Here is a 15710-nt window from a genome sequence, read left to right as displayed (position 1 = left end):
GTGTACGTCATGTAATGATCACATCAGGGTACTTAGCATATCCATCGCCTCATGTATTTATCATTTCTTTGTGGTGAGAACATTCAAAACTCTGTCTTCCAGCATGATCTCACTTGTGGAATCTAAACAAAGTTGATCTCATAGAAGTAGAGAGGAGAACAGTGGTTACAGGAGACTGGGCAGGGAGGGGATGCAGGGATGCGGATGGGGAAGATGGGGAGAGGGTGGTCAACAGGTACAAAGTTCCAATTAGACAGGAGGAGTGAGATCTGGTGTTCTATTGCACAGAAGGGTGACTGTGGTTAACAGTAAGGTATTGTATTTTTTCTTCTCTTTGCCCATGAAACTAACAAATTTGTCCCCGTGCGTATCTGGAGGCTACCAGGAAGCTGTCCTGGGGCCAGGTTATAAGCAACCCAGCAAGTGGTCAGCAGGCAATCAATTTCAGGCCAGCCAGGATCTGCTACTCAACTGGCCTCAGAACTCTCTAGGGAAACTCCCACTCATTAATCACCTCCAGGGATGAGAGCTGCACTGCCCTCAGGCATGAAACGAATGACTCACACCACCAAGCCACTCTTGTGAACTCTGCTGGAATGCCCAGAAAGGGCAGGGGTCTCTGAGAAGTGAGCAAAATGCTCCCTTCTTGCTCAAGTGCAGCCCTCAGGCTCCCATCAGGCAAAGCATCCCGCAGCAAAACCAGTTTCAAGGACTCTGACACTGGCCAAGACCGGATGTCCACCGCTCATTAGAGATATGTGTTTGATTCCCGTACCGAGACTTGTCACATCAAGACAATCAACGTTGACTGCAGGAACCATGCTAGACATGGGGACACAAAGACGAAGAGGTTCCAGTCTCCTTCCACAGCAACTCCTGAGTCCTCCAATGGCACATAGGTGCCATGTCCCTTGGACACTTGTTCTCTCCAACCTCATCTCCTACTTCCCATCCCCTTGCCACATTGCCCTTTGCTGTTCCTCCAACACACTAGGCACCATCCCACCGCAGGGCCTTTGCACTGGCTGTTCTTTTTTTTTTTTTTTTTTTTTTTTGAGACGGAGTCTTGCTCTGTCGCCCAGGCTGGAGTGTAGTGGCATGATCTCGGCTCACTGCAAGCTCCGCCTCCCAGGTTCACGATGTTCTTTATGACCAAAATGCTCTTCCTCCAGATACCAACATGACTCACTCTCTTGCTTCCTTTGAGTCTGTGCTTCCACCTCACCTTCCCAACAAGGCCAACCCCAGCCACCTTACTGAGAACTGTAACACTCCAGCCTCCGAGCATTGCCCATGTCCATCCTCTGCTTCACTACTGTTTTCCCAGGGCTTCTCACATCTAACGTGCCCTGATGTTACTATTTGCTTTATTGTTCCTCTGTCTCTCTGCATGAGACCCAAGTTCCTGGAGGTCAAGGTTTTTGTTTTGCTCACTGGGTATATATCTCCAGGGCCTAGAACAGTGCCTGGCATACGGCAGATACCCAATAATTATCTGCTGAATATCTGAATAAATAATACTGACCTGGCTTCAGGTAACTCAAAATCAGGTTAAAAATCACAAATATCCGAAGAGGCTGGCCCACTCATGAAAACTAACAATGCCACAGGGGACAGAGGCCAGAAGTGGCATGTACCTCATTTGTCTGTCCTCACCCTCAATTTTCTGATTTTAATTGAAACCCAGAAGAAGTCACCAATGGCCCAACGCAATCAGAAAAGGTCCCCATTCTACATGGAGCTGCCTCCAGCCTTGTGGCTGCCCCAAGCCCATTCTGTGTCACACACTGCAGGACAGATATAGAAAAGCCAGCTAGGGTCTAAGTCACAAGGCTTCTTCCCCATCTGCCTCCTGCTCCCATCCCTGCCCACTGTGCCCACTCCATTGTTACCAATTGGCTTCTCCAGGATGTAGCAATGAAGGCACCTGCCCCTTCTCTGGCTAGCTGGCCCAAGGCCAAAACCCCGGGCCTTTGGTCACAGTCACCCGCGGCCCTGGCTAAAGCCTGCTCCCTTCTCAAGTACTAAGGGACATTGAGACCCTCCTCAGTTGTCCAGCCCACCTTCTGCCCCAGGAAACAGAGAGACGCAACTGTTTCTCAGACAACGATACGCTCCTTAGTACCGGACCTCATGTTGCACTCTGGATTTTGATTATATCAAATCCTCTTAAACATAGACCAGAGCTGCCACATTCAATACTTCGGTGGGCAAGAATGGCACCTCAGAGCCGTAACTGCAGTGAGGGATTAGGGGATAGACCTCAATGGCAAAGCCAAAAGGGAGAATATACACCAAGCTCTAATTCCCTTGTGGGAATGTCTGCAATGGGTCAATTAAGGCCCTTAATTTATAGAAGTCTATCTTTACCCTTTGATATTCACAATCAACCTTCTCCCAGAAGCCTATTAGCATTTTCAGGAAGAAGAATGTGCGCGCCTTGGAACCAGCACTGATTAGCTGGGGGATCATGAGTACAGTCAGGGTCACTAAAAGACTCAGGAACTCTAATCCTGGCCGGAAGGGGTGCTATCCTGCCTGATGCATTCAGCACACGGGAGACTCGGCTGACATCGGATACAAGTTTGAGTTGTAAAGAAAGCCCTGCAGCAGCGACCAGGGGAGCTAAGTCAACGATTAATGCTCTGAATCTGCAAACACACAACCCAGAGAAGCAAGGCTGCTACTTTCCTAGCCACTGGCTCCACACACCATATCCTGGGGGAGTATCCGGCTGGGCAGAGAGTCCTGCTACTAGAAGTGACAGGTGTCCAGAGATTCATCTGGAAACCATCCTAACTGCTAAACTGGTATCTACAGACAGACTGTCAATGTCCTTATGTGGAGATAAGCAAGCCTATTCTGCCCCAGAATCCTCAGACCCTGACTTCACAACCAGCCAACCATATGAACCCACATTAGCAGTTAAGTATTTATACTTTCCAGCTGGGTGTGATGGCTCATGCCTGTAATCCCAGCACTTTGCGAGGCCAAGGTGGGTGAATTGTTTGAGCCCAGGAGTTCGAGACCAGCTTGGGTAACACGGCGAAACCCCATCTCCACAAAACAAAAAAACAAAAAAAAACAAAAGTTATCTGGGCATGGTGGCATGTGCCTTTAGTCCCAGCTACTCAGGAGGCTGAGGTGGGAGGATCGTTTGACCTGGGGAGGCTGAGGCTGCAGTGAGCTAGGATCACACCACTGCTCTCCAGACTGGGCAACAACGCGAGATCCTGTCTCAAAAAAAAACAAAAAACAAAAAACAACGACAACAGTATTTGCACTTTCCAGAAATTAAATCTGGGTCTGGCTGAATGGAGAGCACAGTATACACACAGTATACACACAGAGGGCTTCACCTACCATCACTCAATGGCAATGGCTAACATTGGTGTTTCATCATCACTGTTATTACTAACACTTCTCCCTCTGTGCCTTGGTGTCTGCTCAAAAGCCACCCCACTGAAGGGCGCATGGTGTCTGTTTCCACATTCATCAGTCCAGAGACAGCTCGTAAGCCCAGGGAAGAAGGTCCCAGGTAGGAGGTGGAAGGTCACTGCGCAGCCTTAGGAACTAAGGTCATTATAATGATAACATCTAATATTTATGCACTTGCTGTGTACATAAAAAGGCTTTGGAGTAAGCACTTTACACGGCACTTAATTCTCATCATAAACCCATGTTTGCTATTCTCACTGGAGAGGTAAGAAACTGAGGCCCGGGAACACCTAGTAAAATCAGGGACCACGATTTGAGGAGCCCAGGGAAACTGGTTACAGCACCCACTCCACAAGGCTGCCTCTGGAGGTGGAACATGGAACAGCACCAAAAGCAGCCCACTGCAAACCCAGCCACTGAGGCAAAGAGAAGGCGGCATTCAAGGGGCAGGCTAGGAAGTGACTTCTGCTCTGAGAGTCATTACAAGAATGTCACGAGAGCCCTTGTGACTCTGCTACCACTTCACCCACTGAGTCATTCACTCCTGCACCGAACACCTCCCTGGGCATCTCTGGCAAGCCCCATGATGGCACAGGTGGCACAGGCATCTCCGAGACATGGTCCCTGTCCTCATGGGAGGAGGGAAGCCCAGGGAGGGCAGGGGTCAGGTCGTTCCAGTGCACCACCACATCCCTCATCTCTCAGCACAAGTACACAACAGATGGCTGCTGAAGGAATGGATGAATAGATGAATAAATGAATGAATGCAAAAATGAAGGAAACCATTCCACAGAAACCCAAGAGGAAAAAAAAGTCCTTTAAAAAAAGTACCTACAAGTAATGATGCATATCCCAAATTCTAATCTATATGTTCATTCTGCAAAAACAACGAGATGTTAGCAGTTTCAGAATTAGTGTTGTCCTACTCGATTTCCCCACACAAGAAACACTATCTGCTCTGCATTCGAATTATAGCAAGAATTAGCCTTTAGCAGGAACCATATGATTTTAACGCACAGATGAATTTCAATTAGACATTCATCTAACCATGCTGATGTGTTTTCCATTTAACCCTAAATTACAGTCCTTTCAAATAACTGTGATCTCCCCTCTGCTTCTCTCTCTTCAATTTTGGTTTGGTTTTGTGAAAGGTCTGCTGGTAAAAATGAGGCAATACCAGTAACTTATCTACAAATTACGGGAAGGAGAAAGTAGGTTAAAAAAGACCAAGAAACTTAAAACAAGTATAATCAAACCACATCCGAGTTGGGCAGGAAACAATAGGAGTCTGTTCTCGCTCATAGGGAAGGAAGGTAAATCGTACCAGGACTATTATCAAACAAGTCACAGAAGGAATTCAGCCTGTGCTCTTCCCAAACCTGAACGATAGTCATCAGATTACAACCAACTTCAACTTCACACTGAGAGAAAGGTAGTAACTGGAAGCAGAAAGCCGACACATGTGGGCTAGCAATTCCCTCCACGCTACAGAGTCTCATTTTCAGTTCAGGTGTCCACCACAACTGGCTCTTACATCCCAAAGGCAGTTTGTGTGTCTCTCACAAGGGAGGTGAGACCTTCATCCTAAGAAGAGGCCATATCAGGAGAGAGGACAGATCTCCTAAACACTTCCCCTGACTAAATGGTTGAGCTACAGCCAGTGTCCTAAACTGAGAGGTTGCCAGTAACCCGCAGTTTGCTTTTGCTCAAACATAAATCCTATGTATCACTGTCAATATCCTGCTTGTGAGGGTGTACTAGAGTTTTGCAAGATGTTACCACTGGGGGAAACTGAGGAAGATCTCTCTGTATTATCTGTTACAACTGCACGCAAATCTATAATTATCTCAGTAAAAAATTTCAATTAAAAAAAAAACTGCATAAAAGCTGGGTGCAGTGGCTCACACCTGTAATCCCAGCACATTGGGAGGCTAAGACGGGCAGATCACTTGAGGCCAGAAGTTCAAGACCAGCCTGGCCAACATGGTAAAATCCCATCTCTACTAAAAATACAAACAAAATTAGCTGGGTGTGGTGGTGCATGCCTGTAGTCCCAGCTATTCGGAGGCTGAGGCACGAGAATCACTTGAACCCTGGAGACAGAGGTTGCAGTGAGCCGAGATCACGCTACTGTACTCCAGCCTGGGCGACAGAGCCAGACTCTGTCAAAAACAAAACAAAACAAAACACACCAAAAAAAAAATCAAAAAAACTAAAACTGCATAATGATGGATAAATGGATAAAGAAAGAAAAAGAAAATGTGGTATATTTCTTGGTACACACACACACACACACACACACACACACATTGAGCCTTAAAGAAATAAATTCTGATATATGCGACAACATGGATGAATCTCGAGGACATTACATTAAGTGAAATGAGCCAGTGACAAAGACAAATGCTGCACGATTCTACTTATACGAGGTATCTAAAATTGTCAAACTCATGCAGAGAGGAGAATGGTGATTGCTGGGGCTGGGGGGATGGAGAGTTGTTGTCCAGTGGGTATGAAGTATCAGTCATGCAGGTGACTCCACAGAGCAATGGATAGCACATTGTACTTCTGAAGTTTCAGTATGCAAGATAAATGAGATCTAGAAATCTGCTGAATGATGCTGTGCCTACACTCAACAATAATGTTAACCATACAAATAAAAATGTGTTAAAAGGGTAGATCTCATGTTGTGTTCTTATCACAACTCTAAAAATGCAGCAGGCCGGCTCATGCCTGTAATCTCAGCACTTTGGGAGGCTGAGGCGGGTGGATCACGAGGTCAGGAGATTGAGACCATCCTGGCTAACATAGTGAAACCCCGTCTCTACTAAAAATACAAAAAATGAGCCGGGTGTGGGGGCAGGCGCCTGTAGTCCCAGCTACTTGGGAGGCTGAGGCAGGAGAATGGCGTGAACCCGGGAGGCAGAGCTTGCAGTGAGCTGAGATCGTGCCGCTGTACTCCAGCCTGGGCGACAGAGCGAGACTCAGTCTCAAAAAAAAAAAAAAAAAAAAAAAAAAAAAAAAAAAATTCTGCAGGCCAGGTGCAGTGTCTCACACTTGTAATCCCAACACTTTGGGAGGCCAAGGCAGGCAGATCAGTTGAGCTCAGGAGTTCAAGAGCAGCCTGGCCAACATGGTGAAAGCCCATTTCTACTAAAAATACAAAAATTAGCTGGGCGTGGTGGCACATGCCTGTAATCCCAGCTACTTGGGAGGCTGACGCTTGAACCCAGAGGCAGAGGCTGCAGTGAGCCGAGATCACGCCACTGCACTCCAGCCTGGGCGACAGAGACTCCATCTCAAAATAAATAAATAAATAAAAATAAATAAACAATGCTGCAAACCCCAGAGCCCAGCAATCTCTGGTTTCATCTCTTAGAACGACAAGTCTAGCTTCAGCACTGCAGAGGGTATCTTACAGTAAGACAATCTGAGATGAAGCCACGGCAGCTATCCTCAGGCTTGGAAATCATGCAACTAAAAAAAAAAAAAAGTCCCGAGGGACCCAGTACATCTCCAGTTGCTATTAACATATTAACATCAATGTAGTCCCAGTTAGCAGTGGGCAGGTTTCACGGTAAACACGCCTCATCTGATGGGGGCAGGCTCTGCGAAGCTTCCCGTAGAAACGTGCATTGATGGGGACCAGATCTTCTGACTGTTGGAGAAGATTCCAAAAATCTGGACTTTTCTTCCTAAATTTTAATGTTGGCAATTCAGAAAATTTTCTTTTAAATACTGCAAAGACCAAACCAAATGAGTCTGGTGGCCAGTTTGCAACCCAGCAGGCACTTGATGGGCACTATATATATATATATATTTTTTTTTTTTTTTTTTTGAGATGGAGTCTTGCTCTGTCGCCCAGGCTGGAGTGCAGTGGCGCAATCTCAGCTCACTGCAAGCTCCGCCTCCTGGGTTCACGCCATTCTCCTGCCTCAGCCTCCCGAGTAGCTGAGACTGCAGGCGCCTGCCACCATGCCCGGCCAATTTTTTTTGTATTTTTAGTAGAGACGGGGTTTCACCGTGTTAGCCAGGATGGTCTCGATCTCCTGACCCGGTGATCTGCCCGCCTCGGCCTCCCAAAGTGCTGGGATTACAGGGGTGAGCCACCGTGCCCAGCGGGCACTTTATATTTTGCCCCCATCTCCATCAGCTCTCTAGAGCAGGGCTTGCGCTGCCTGTTTTCTAAATGGAGTGAAACAACCTGCCCGAGACCAGGTGGCTGGCAGGGCACTCTGCACCTCTAACTGGAGGCCCTGCTGATTCTGCTGACTCAGCCTTCCGTGACTTACATTCATTTAGCAAACGCTAGTTTAAGAAAGTTGCAGAGAAATATCTAGGGCCCCATAAACTCTGAGTCAGCTGTACATTTGCCAGACCGTGTGTTGTCATGAGATGGACCACTAGGAAAATCTTTAACACATCACCCCTGTCACCTCTAGGCCAAAGCCTCTCACCAAACACTTCTTCCCTTTAGAGCGCTTATAAGAGTTAAGACAGTGAGTTATTTGCATATCTGATCCATGTCCACCTCTCTACTGTACTGTAAAGCTCGAATACGGCACAGACTCTTTATGACATTGTGTATCCCCAGAACTAGCATGATACTTGGCCCAAAGAAAGAGCTCCATCAACACTGCTGAATGAATCAAGAAAGGGATAGGCCAGACAGGGGCCATGAAAAGGCCCCAATCAATTCACTAATGCCACCACCACTAACAAGGACAGAGTTTCTGGGAAGCTTTTCAGAGGCGCTAATGCTCCCCTGAATAACAAAATGACCTGGCCAGACCATCATACACCAAAACCAGTGGAAGGGCAGGGGCCTCTTGTAATTGTACTCCATGCAGTGGTGGCCTTTCATCCACAGGGTCACATTCCACCCATTCATGTAGGTGGGGCAGCAAATCTACTACCCCAGGGCGAGCTGGCCCTTTTACCAGCCTGGCCACTGCCTGAGCACCTGGCTGCAGAGAGGAAACCTTTATGAAACAGCCCTTGTATAAAACGCACTATGCTCATCTCACTTACCCACTCTAAGCTCCTTATGGCAGGGATCTCACCTGTCACTGAATCAGCTGCAGCCTGGGCTCCGCATAAGTGAGATGAGCATTTGTGCAGCCCAGACTGCAGCTGATTCAGTGACAGGTGAGATCCCTGCCATAAGGAGCTTAGAGTGGGTAAGACCTTTGAAAAGAGGGAACCAGGTGCATCAGGAACCAGGCTGTAGGTACGGTAAAGGCGCAGGTTCAAAGGCACAAATGCTGGACATGCTGGGGGAAAAGCAAGTCAGACCAGGATTAAGGCAGCTGGAGCTCAGGACATGTGAGCAGGATCTGAGAGATGACAGCAGAGATATACAGAGGACAAGATGGAAAAGCTTCAAGAGAAGTCACAACACTGGCCATCAGGTGTTTTCCCTCAGCAGTGTACCAAATGGAACGCCAAAGCTCCTTCCTGCAGACCACAAACATGCTACTTAGTCCAAAGCTTGATGATCATTTAAAACTAGAGATTACACGTAACAATGCGTTTTTCCCGCTTCTCTAGAAACATGAAAAAACCTAGTAATCCTACATCCATATTCCTGCAGAACAGCAGCAGCCTGGGGTAGAACAGGAGCTGCTCGCCAAGGTGGCATACACTCTCCAATTTGCCACACCCCTCGCCACTCTCTACTGCCCTCACCTGGGGCCTGAGTCATTCATGGATGTTCATCGCCCAACTTCTGTAGACATTAGTTCCTCTGATAAGGCATTTTCTCACTGTGTCCCGATAACAGTGTCTCACAGATATGCAACCTAAGGCCCGGAGTGGTACAATTCCATGTTTAAGAACACACAATCAATCAAATCCAGGTGGTCCCTGATCCCAGCTTCTCTTGGGTATGCAATCAAGACTCTGATTAGGTTCACTGAATCCCGGACCAGCTTATGCATCATCACTGCTATATATTCAGAATGTTAGTTTCTGATTTTAGAGAAACACACAGATTAGCAAAATGAGCAATGGTTTCCTGTTAAGGTCAGTCCCGAAGCTAATGACTTACAGAACTTCTCTGAATATCCTGTTCAGTCTTAGCGTACATCTCAGACAGATCACCATTCAGAATGACTTCAGCTAACGAGTTCACCAGCGGTGCATGATGTATAATTAAGAAGACCTGGCGGAAAAAAAAGAAACGGGATTTGCATGAAAGTGTGCGGTATTTTCAACCTCTTGCTTCCTGGATCAGAAGCGACCAGGCTGGGCTACCTAAGTCCTGTATTAAGCAGCAATTCCTACGATGCAAAATTCAAAGAATGAGCCACAGGAAGCAGGACTCGGTTCCACTCTTGTAAGGTCAGTCTCTCCTTCAGACTGTTGCCTATTTGGCTGGCTGCTCTTCCTCGGAAGGAAGTGCATTAATGCGAGACTGTCCCTCATGGCTGGGTGAAGCCAAATCCGGCTGAAGTGGAGCAATGCGGGAAAGAACAGCCAAACCAGCACACTCCTTCCTTTCCATGGGCATTTTAGTGTCAAATTTGGTTATGAGAAGACTAGAAGGCACTGTCCCAATACTTTAGTGATACAAGAAGAAGGGGCCGGAGAGTTTTGTTCCAATCAAGGACTTGGCAGAGGGTTGGCTACACAGAGATTCCATCACGGGAGGGAGCTCTGACCCTGTGGTGGGTTTTAGCACACGGGGATTCCACAGCATCGTCAGGAGGTATGTGAACTACGGGGCTGAAAATCACACGAGACAGAGGCAAACCCAGGTGGGCCAGGATGCAAAATCAGAGGGCTGCCTCTGGGCTAAGCTGGCCCTGCTCCCACACCTGTTGCCCAATGTTCAGAGGACCAGCTTTAAGAATCAGGGTATTCAAAACTGTCTTGCAAAGCTGGCCTAGACATGCCTGCTATTTTGTTTTAAAATGTAAAGGCAAGAGGGTGTAGCACAGGGTGTGGCTTATCTACCATTTGCATAGAAAAGCGTGTGCATGTTTGTATTTGCTTATTTACATATGCATAGGCCAGGGTTTCTCAATCTTGGCACTGCTGACAATTTGGGCTATAACTGAGTATGGAGGGAGGCTGTCCCAGACACTGCAGGCTGGTGAGCAGCATCCCTGACCTCCACCCACTAGATGTCAGTAGCACCCCAGCCTCGGTCATGACAACTGAATGCATCTCCCCAGACACTGCCAGGTATCCCCTGAGGGGCAAAATTGCCCCTAGTTAAGAACCCCTGACAGATGTCTCTGTTAGGACATACGAGAACCCTGTAACCCTAATTGTCTCTGGGGATAGAAGTCAGGAGCCTGAACAAAACTAGAACAGAAACCCGGTTTTTACATGTTTGAACTTTTTAACTTTAAAAAACGTTGTTTAAAAAAAATTATTTTTTAAAAAGTGAAGGCAAAAATCAACACAGGCTGCCTCTGGGGAGTGCAGTTGGGTGCTCAGGGTATAGAGTGAGAGAGACTTTTCACATGCCATGTTTTGTACTGTTTGAACAAGGGGAATATATTATTCTAACAAATACATAGAATTCAAATTAGATAAAAGGTACAGGCAGAATGGCCATGTGGCACCTCCCTATAAAAAATTGCATCTTTTAAAAAAATACTGGGAACCTTTTCTATCACAGAGACCACATAGTATGATTCAATGAGTTAACCCACGTCCAAGGCTTGGCAGGCCCTTAAATGTTAGCAATGATGATTTTTCTCACCTTCCTTATGGCCGAATTACTGCCACACATCACTCTACCAACAACACAAAACACCAATCACTGTGGTCATTCATTCTCAAATATCCGTTACGTACCTTGAATGAATGCGGCCTTAACTGATCATTTATTCCTTCTTTTCAGTCCACAAGCATTCAGTGAGCACCTACAAAGGCCCCCCTGAACAAAGCAACCAATTCCTGCCTGTGGACACACACAGTGCTCATTTCCCTGGCTCTGAACCCAAAAAAGAGGGAGGGTGAGTAACTGTAAGGTACGTGGAAGCACGTGCAGGCCAGACTCAAAAAGCTGGGCCCAGCTGCCTACACCACACTCTGTTAGCAGTTTGGTTTTAGGAGGACAGCATCACCTGTCACACCAAATTAACGTCATCCATAAAAATTTTCATGGTTTTCTAGCTATGCTTGTAAAATAATTTGCAAGTATGCAATGATTTTATATTGAAGTAGGGGCTTTCAGGACACAGGATTTATACCTGATTTTAGGTTTTTCACACATTTAGGTCACATTTTCATTAAGCTAAATGAAAATGCAGGGGGAAACAGGGCTTCAGGTTGTTTATCTTTAAAAGGGATGTATTACTCAAGTTTGAGGAACAATGAATTACAAGCTATGTTTTCTGTGAGATACTGAAACAAGTAATTGGGTGCATGGGCTACTGGTCCTTTACAAAGCAAACCGGTGAGGGAGGAGTCTCAGAGAAAAGTCCTAACTCTCTCCACTGACGTTCCCGCTGTGGGCAGTTGGCGGCCATGCTCTCTGGAGGAGACCCTGCCCGGGCAATGCTCCAACAGCTGAAGGGTCCTGAGGATGCTTTCCATATGATTCCTGGGGCTGAGAACTGGCTTGCTTGGGTCCTGTTGGACTCTCAGAATCTCAAGCAGGAGATGCCGGCAGACTTGGAAAGAGGCAGCAGAAAAAAGCTGCCAGGAGAGGCTGGGGTTTATGCTCAGCGCCGTCGTACAGAGCGGCATTCAGACAAACTTGGCCTCGTGCAGAGCTCTGAGCAAATAGCCCCAGAATAGGACTCTGGGCTGTGAGTGATGGTCAGGACATGTCCGGATTGGCCTACCTGCCGGGGAGGAGGTGGCCTCTGAACCTCTCCTCTTGGGCCAAAAAGACAAAGCCCCGCCCCAAATTCAAAACAGCTGGGGATCAAGTCAGAAGGACAGTTCCTCATCAAAGCAAATAAATACCTGTGCCATTGCAAAAGCGGAAACAGAATTCTGGGTAAATGCTGGACTACTTAATAGTCTAATGAGATGCCCTGAGAGTCTGGACTGCTTGTAATAAAAATATTTTTAAAGTTATGTAACTGGGTCGCCATGGAGTTTTTCCCTTCTTGTAAATATTACATAATTACATGAAGGAAACACACTTGTTGAAGGAGGGGAGGGAGATAAATTGGCTCAAGACACAAATCTGAGAGCTAAGGTTGCTACAAGATTCCTTCCACACGGTAATCTGGGAACTAGAACCGCGATAAAGCCCTTTAACAATAGACTCATTTCAGGAAGTTTGTTACACCAAGGTTGCTGTGTGTATGCACGCTGTGGGTTCTGCAGTGTGGGGCTTCATTCAAAGCTGCAGGAGTAAAAGCGATGCAGCCCACATTTCCAGGGCATTTCAAGCACTCCTCAGTTGTTTTGGAAACCTCAGTCTTCATGGTAAAAATCAACTATACAAGTTAGGTTTGGTTTATTTTTCATTTCTCTTTGGATTTCCATCTCCTACCATGAAAAAGATACACACTACCTCTATTTAGTACCTGGAAAACAGAAAGCCCCTTCTGTTTTGCTGTTATTTTACTCCAGCATGGGGGGGACAGAGAAGATGGGGTGATAAGGCCTGGGGATTTTCTTCAAGGCAGTGGCACGCCAAGGGACCCCAAATGTAGTGGGGACATTGGTGAATGATCAAGCATACCTGTGACAGAAGATAAAGAGACACCGGCAGGCTAATTTTCGGCCGTTCTCCTCCCTAGTGCAGGGTGGCAGGAGAGAGAGAGAGAGATCAGGTCACACAAGCGAGCAGCACAAAATACACAAAGCCAAAAGCCTTCTGTGTGAACAAAGGCGTCCTGTCCCACTGACTTCCTCCACGGCCCTAGGGCTGTCCTTTCTTGGTGCTACTCAAAAGTCCACTCCGCAAAATCCCACTCAATACTGTTTGCAAGGACACTATTTTTCCATCTGAGAAACCTTTCACCATTACTCACGGATGAGAGGCTGACCCACGAGAACTTGCTCCTTAAGTTACCAAGCACGTTCATTTGTACCAGCTGGGGCACTGGACGCCCCGGCAGGAGAGGCCTCCAGGAGGCCTGTTCTTGGGAAGTTATTTTCAAAGCATGGGGGAGGAGGTTTAGGGCACTCTGGCCTTGGAAAAGCCCCTCGTTTATAATGAATTTCAAGATGCTCCATTTCACACCCACCCTGTTAGAGAAGAATAGTTAGGCCCTCATTTTGCAGCCGAAGAAACGGGCTCAGGTTAACTGCTTTAGGTCACAGAGTTAGGAAAGGGAAGAGGCAGAATTTGAATGCAGGTCTGAAAACTCCAATTCTCATACTTTGTCTCTGCCTCCCAGAGCTGCCTCTGGTAAAGCTAAGGCGCTTATTCACCTTTATAGTCTTCTCACACACACACTCTGTCTCTGTCTCTCAGGAAATAAGAGGAAAGGAAAGGAAAAGCAGCGTGCTTTGAAAGGAGTCTCCCTCCGGCTCAAAGCCTCAGTCCTGGCTGGGCACGGTGGCTCATGCCTGTAATCCCAGCACTTTGGGAGGCCGAGGCAGGCGTATCACCTGAGATCAGGAGTTTGAGACCAGCCCGGCCAACATGGTGAAACCCCGTTTCTACTAAAAATACACTTTCTTTTATTTACTCATCTGTAGTGAGAATCTTGAAAACTCCATCCCCTTGGAGCACCTCTGCATGGTGACCAGCTGGCTCTGTCCTGCCTCCTGCTGAGGCCCTTTTACCTCCGGAGGAACTGCACAGAGGCCTCCCCTCCAGAAGCAGCATTCCTCACAGGGGGGCCCTGAGAACCAGCAGCACAGAATCAGAATCACCTGAGGGATAGGTGAGACATGCAGATTCCTGGTCCTGAGGCCCTGCATGTTACCAGCCGTCATCCCCACAGGCCTCTGGGGCCTGCTAACAGTGGACAGTCACCACCCTGGGACCGTTCCCTGAGTGTGCTCCATCCCTTCCCTCCATGCTGCGCAAGTTCTGTCGCTGTCTGTATCTTCTCCAAATCAGTGGGTTCTGGCAACTACCAGGAAAAGTTACTGGGGAGGAGAACACTTCAGGGAAGGATGCACAGAAACCAAAACCCTACATTTGTAGATGTTTCCTGTTTCCTCCTGATGTCGGTAATCTTTTCTCATTCACTTTTATAGTCTTCTCACACACACACACTCTGTCTCTGTCTCAGGAAATAAGAGGAAAGGAAAGGAAAGGAAAGCCAGTGTGCTTTGAAAGGAATCTCCCTTGGGCTCAAAACCTCAGTTCTGGCCATAATCCCAGCACTTTGGAAGGCCCAGGCAGGTGTATCACCTGAGGTCAAGAGTTTGAGACCAGCCTGACCAACATGGTGAAATGCCGCCGTCTCTTCCAAAAAGTACAAAAATTAGTCAGGCGTGGTGGTATGCACCTGTAATCCCAGCTACTCGGGAGGCTGAGGCAGGAGAATTACTTGAATTCAGGAGGCGGAGGTTGCAGTGAGCCAAGATCGCACCACTGCACTCCAGCCTGGGTAAAAGAGCAAAACTCCGTCTTTTAAAAACAAACAAACAAAAAAAAAACCTCAGTCCTGATTTGCAATGCTCAGCCCCATTCCAGGGGACTGGGGACTGTTCTTCCCCACTTCTGATGGCCTTCAGCCAGCGGGAGCCACGGGGCTGGACCCACCTTGTCCTGGTTCTCCAGTGAGTACACGTAGAGGGGCAGGAAGAGCCTGTTGAGCAGGTGGTCAGTGAGCACATCGTTGAGGAACTCACAGTTGATGATCAGGATGTCATTGAGATAGTGCAGGTGGTCTAGGTGCTCTGCCACCAGATCACTCAGTTTACCCCGATTCCGATGCCTGCCAGGAGAAATGACCACCTCAGCCTGGAGGCCAACACTAGGAGCCTTTGAGCCTAACATCAATGGCCTGAGACTTAGGTCACTGTGAGTTCATCCACATATTTGAGTTAGTCTCAAGAGACACTTATCCTGGCCCCTACTGGGGAGATATACAAGGGAAAATGGGCAGGTTTACTAAAATCAATTTCAGGGGACTGCTGGGGTCTCCCAGAATGAGGTAAACAAAGCAAAATGCTGCTAAACTCTTCCAGCAAGCCACTGCATAAGCACAGCTACTAGCCACTGTGGCAAGATCCCCTGGCTCCCCAGATAAGCAGCACTAATGGAGCAATAAATCCACTGTAATTAAAATGCTCCAGAGGAGTTCTAAAGAGAAAAGCAGGCCTCCAGAGCCGTGGCCACCCCAGTGGCCCTGACGACATGCAGACATAGAGCAAAGACATGACACCCCTCC

General features: G+C 47.5%; 1 protein-coding gene across 38 annotated transcripts in view, besides 3 other annotated features; it reads right to left on the bottom strand.

Annotated features, from left to right (window-relative positions):
• The window catches only part of CLEC16A (C-type lectin domain containing 16A), a 237623-nt gene that overhangs the window by 189708 nt on the left and 32205 nt on the right, over window positions 1-15710 (bottom strand). For all 38 annotated transcript variants that reach the window (NM_015226.3, XM_005255214.3, XM_011522434.3 and 35 more), the window contains 3 exons: window positions 15080-15254; window positions 13097-13150; window positions 9488-9601 (listed from right to left, as the gene is read on the bottom strand). In NM_015226.3, the coding sequence (NP_056041.1) occupies window positions 9488-9601; window positions 13097-13150; window positions 15080-15254 (343 nt within the window). The remainder of the gene's footprint in view (window positions 1-9487; window positions 9602-13096; window positions 13151-15079; window positions 15255-15710) is intronic.
• Window positions 10440-10509: a silencer, noted in NCBI's record as "silent region_7196". NCBI's record gives its function as "represses an Ori minimal core promoter by ATAC-STARR-seq in GM12878 lymphoblastoid cells {active_cell/tissue: GM12878}" and the evidence as "EXISTENCE:reporter gene assay evidence [ECO:0000049][PMID:35858748]".
• Window positions 11576-12075: an enhancer, noted in NCBI's record as "H3K4me1 hESC enhancer chr16:11074261-11074760 (GRCh37/hg19 assembly coordinates)". NCBI's record gives its function as "activates a minimal SCP1, AML or CMV promoter by ChIP-STARR-seq in naive H9 embryonic stem cells {active_cell/tissue: H9 hESC(naive)}" and the evidence as "EXISTENCE:reporter gene assay evidence [ECO:0000049][PMID:30033119]".
• Window positions 12076-12577: an enhancer, noted in NCBI's record as "H3K4me1 hESC enhancer chr16:11073759-11074260 (GRCh37/hg19 assembly coordinates)". NCBI's record gives its function as "activates a minimal SCP1, AML or CMV promoter by ChIP-STARR-seq in naive and primed H9 embryonic stem cells {active_cell/tissue: H9 hESC(naive and primed)}" and the evidence as "EXISTENCE:reporter gene assay evidence [ECO:0000049][PMID:30033119]".

This window comes from Homo sapiens, chromosome 16 (assembly GCF_000001405.40).
Source record: "Homo sapiens chromosome 16, GRCh38.p14 Primary Assembly".
NCBI lineage: Eukaryota > Metazoa > Chordata > Mammalia > Primates > Hominidae > Homo > Homo sapiens.
This window is presented reverse-complemented; position numbering and strand designations above follow the sequence as displayed.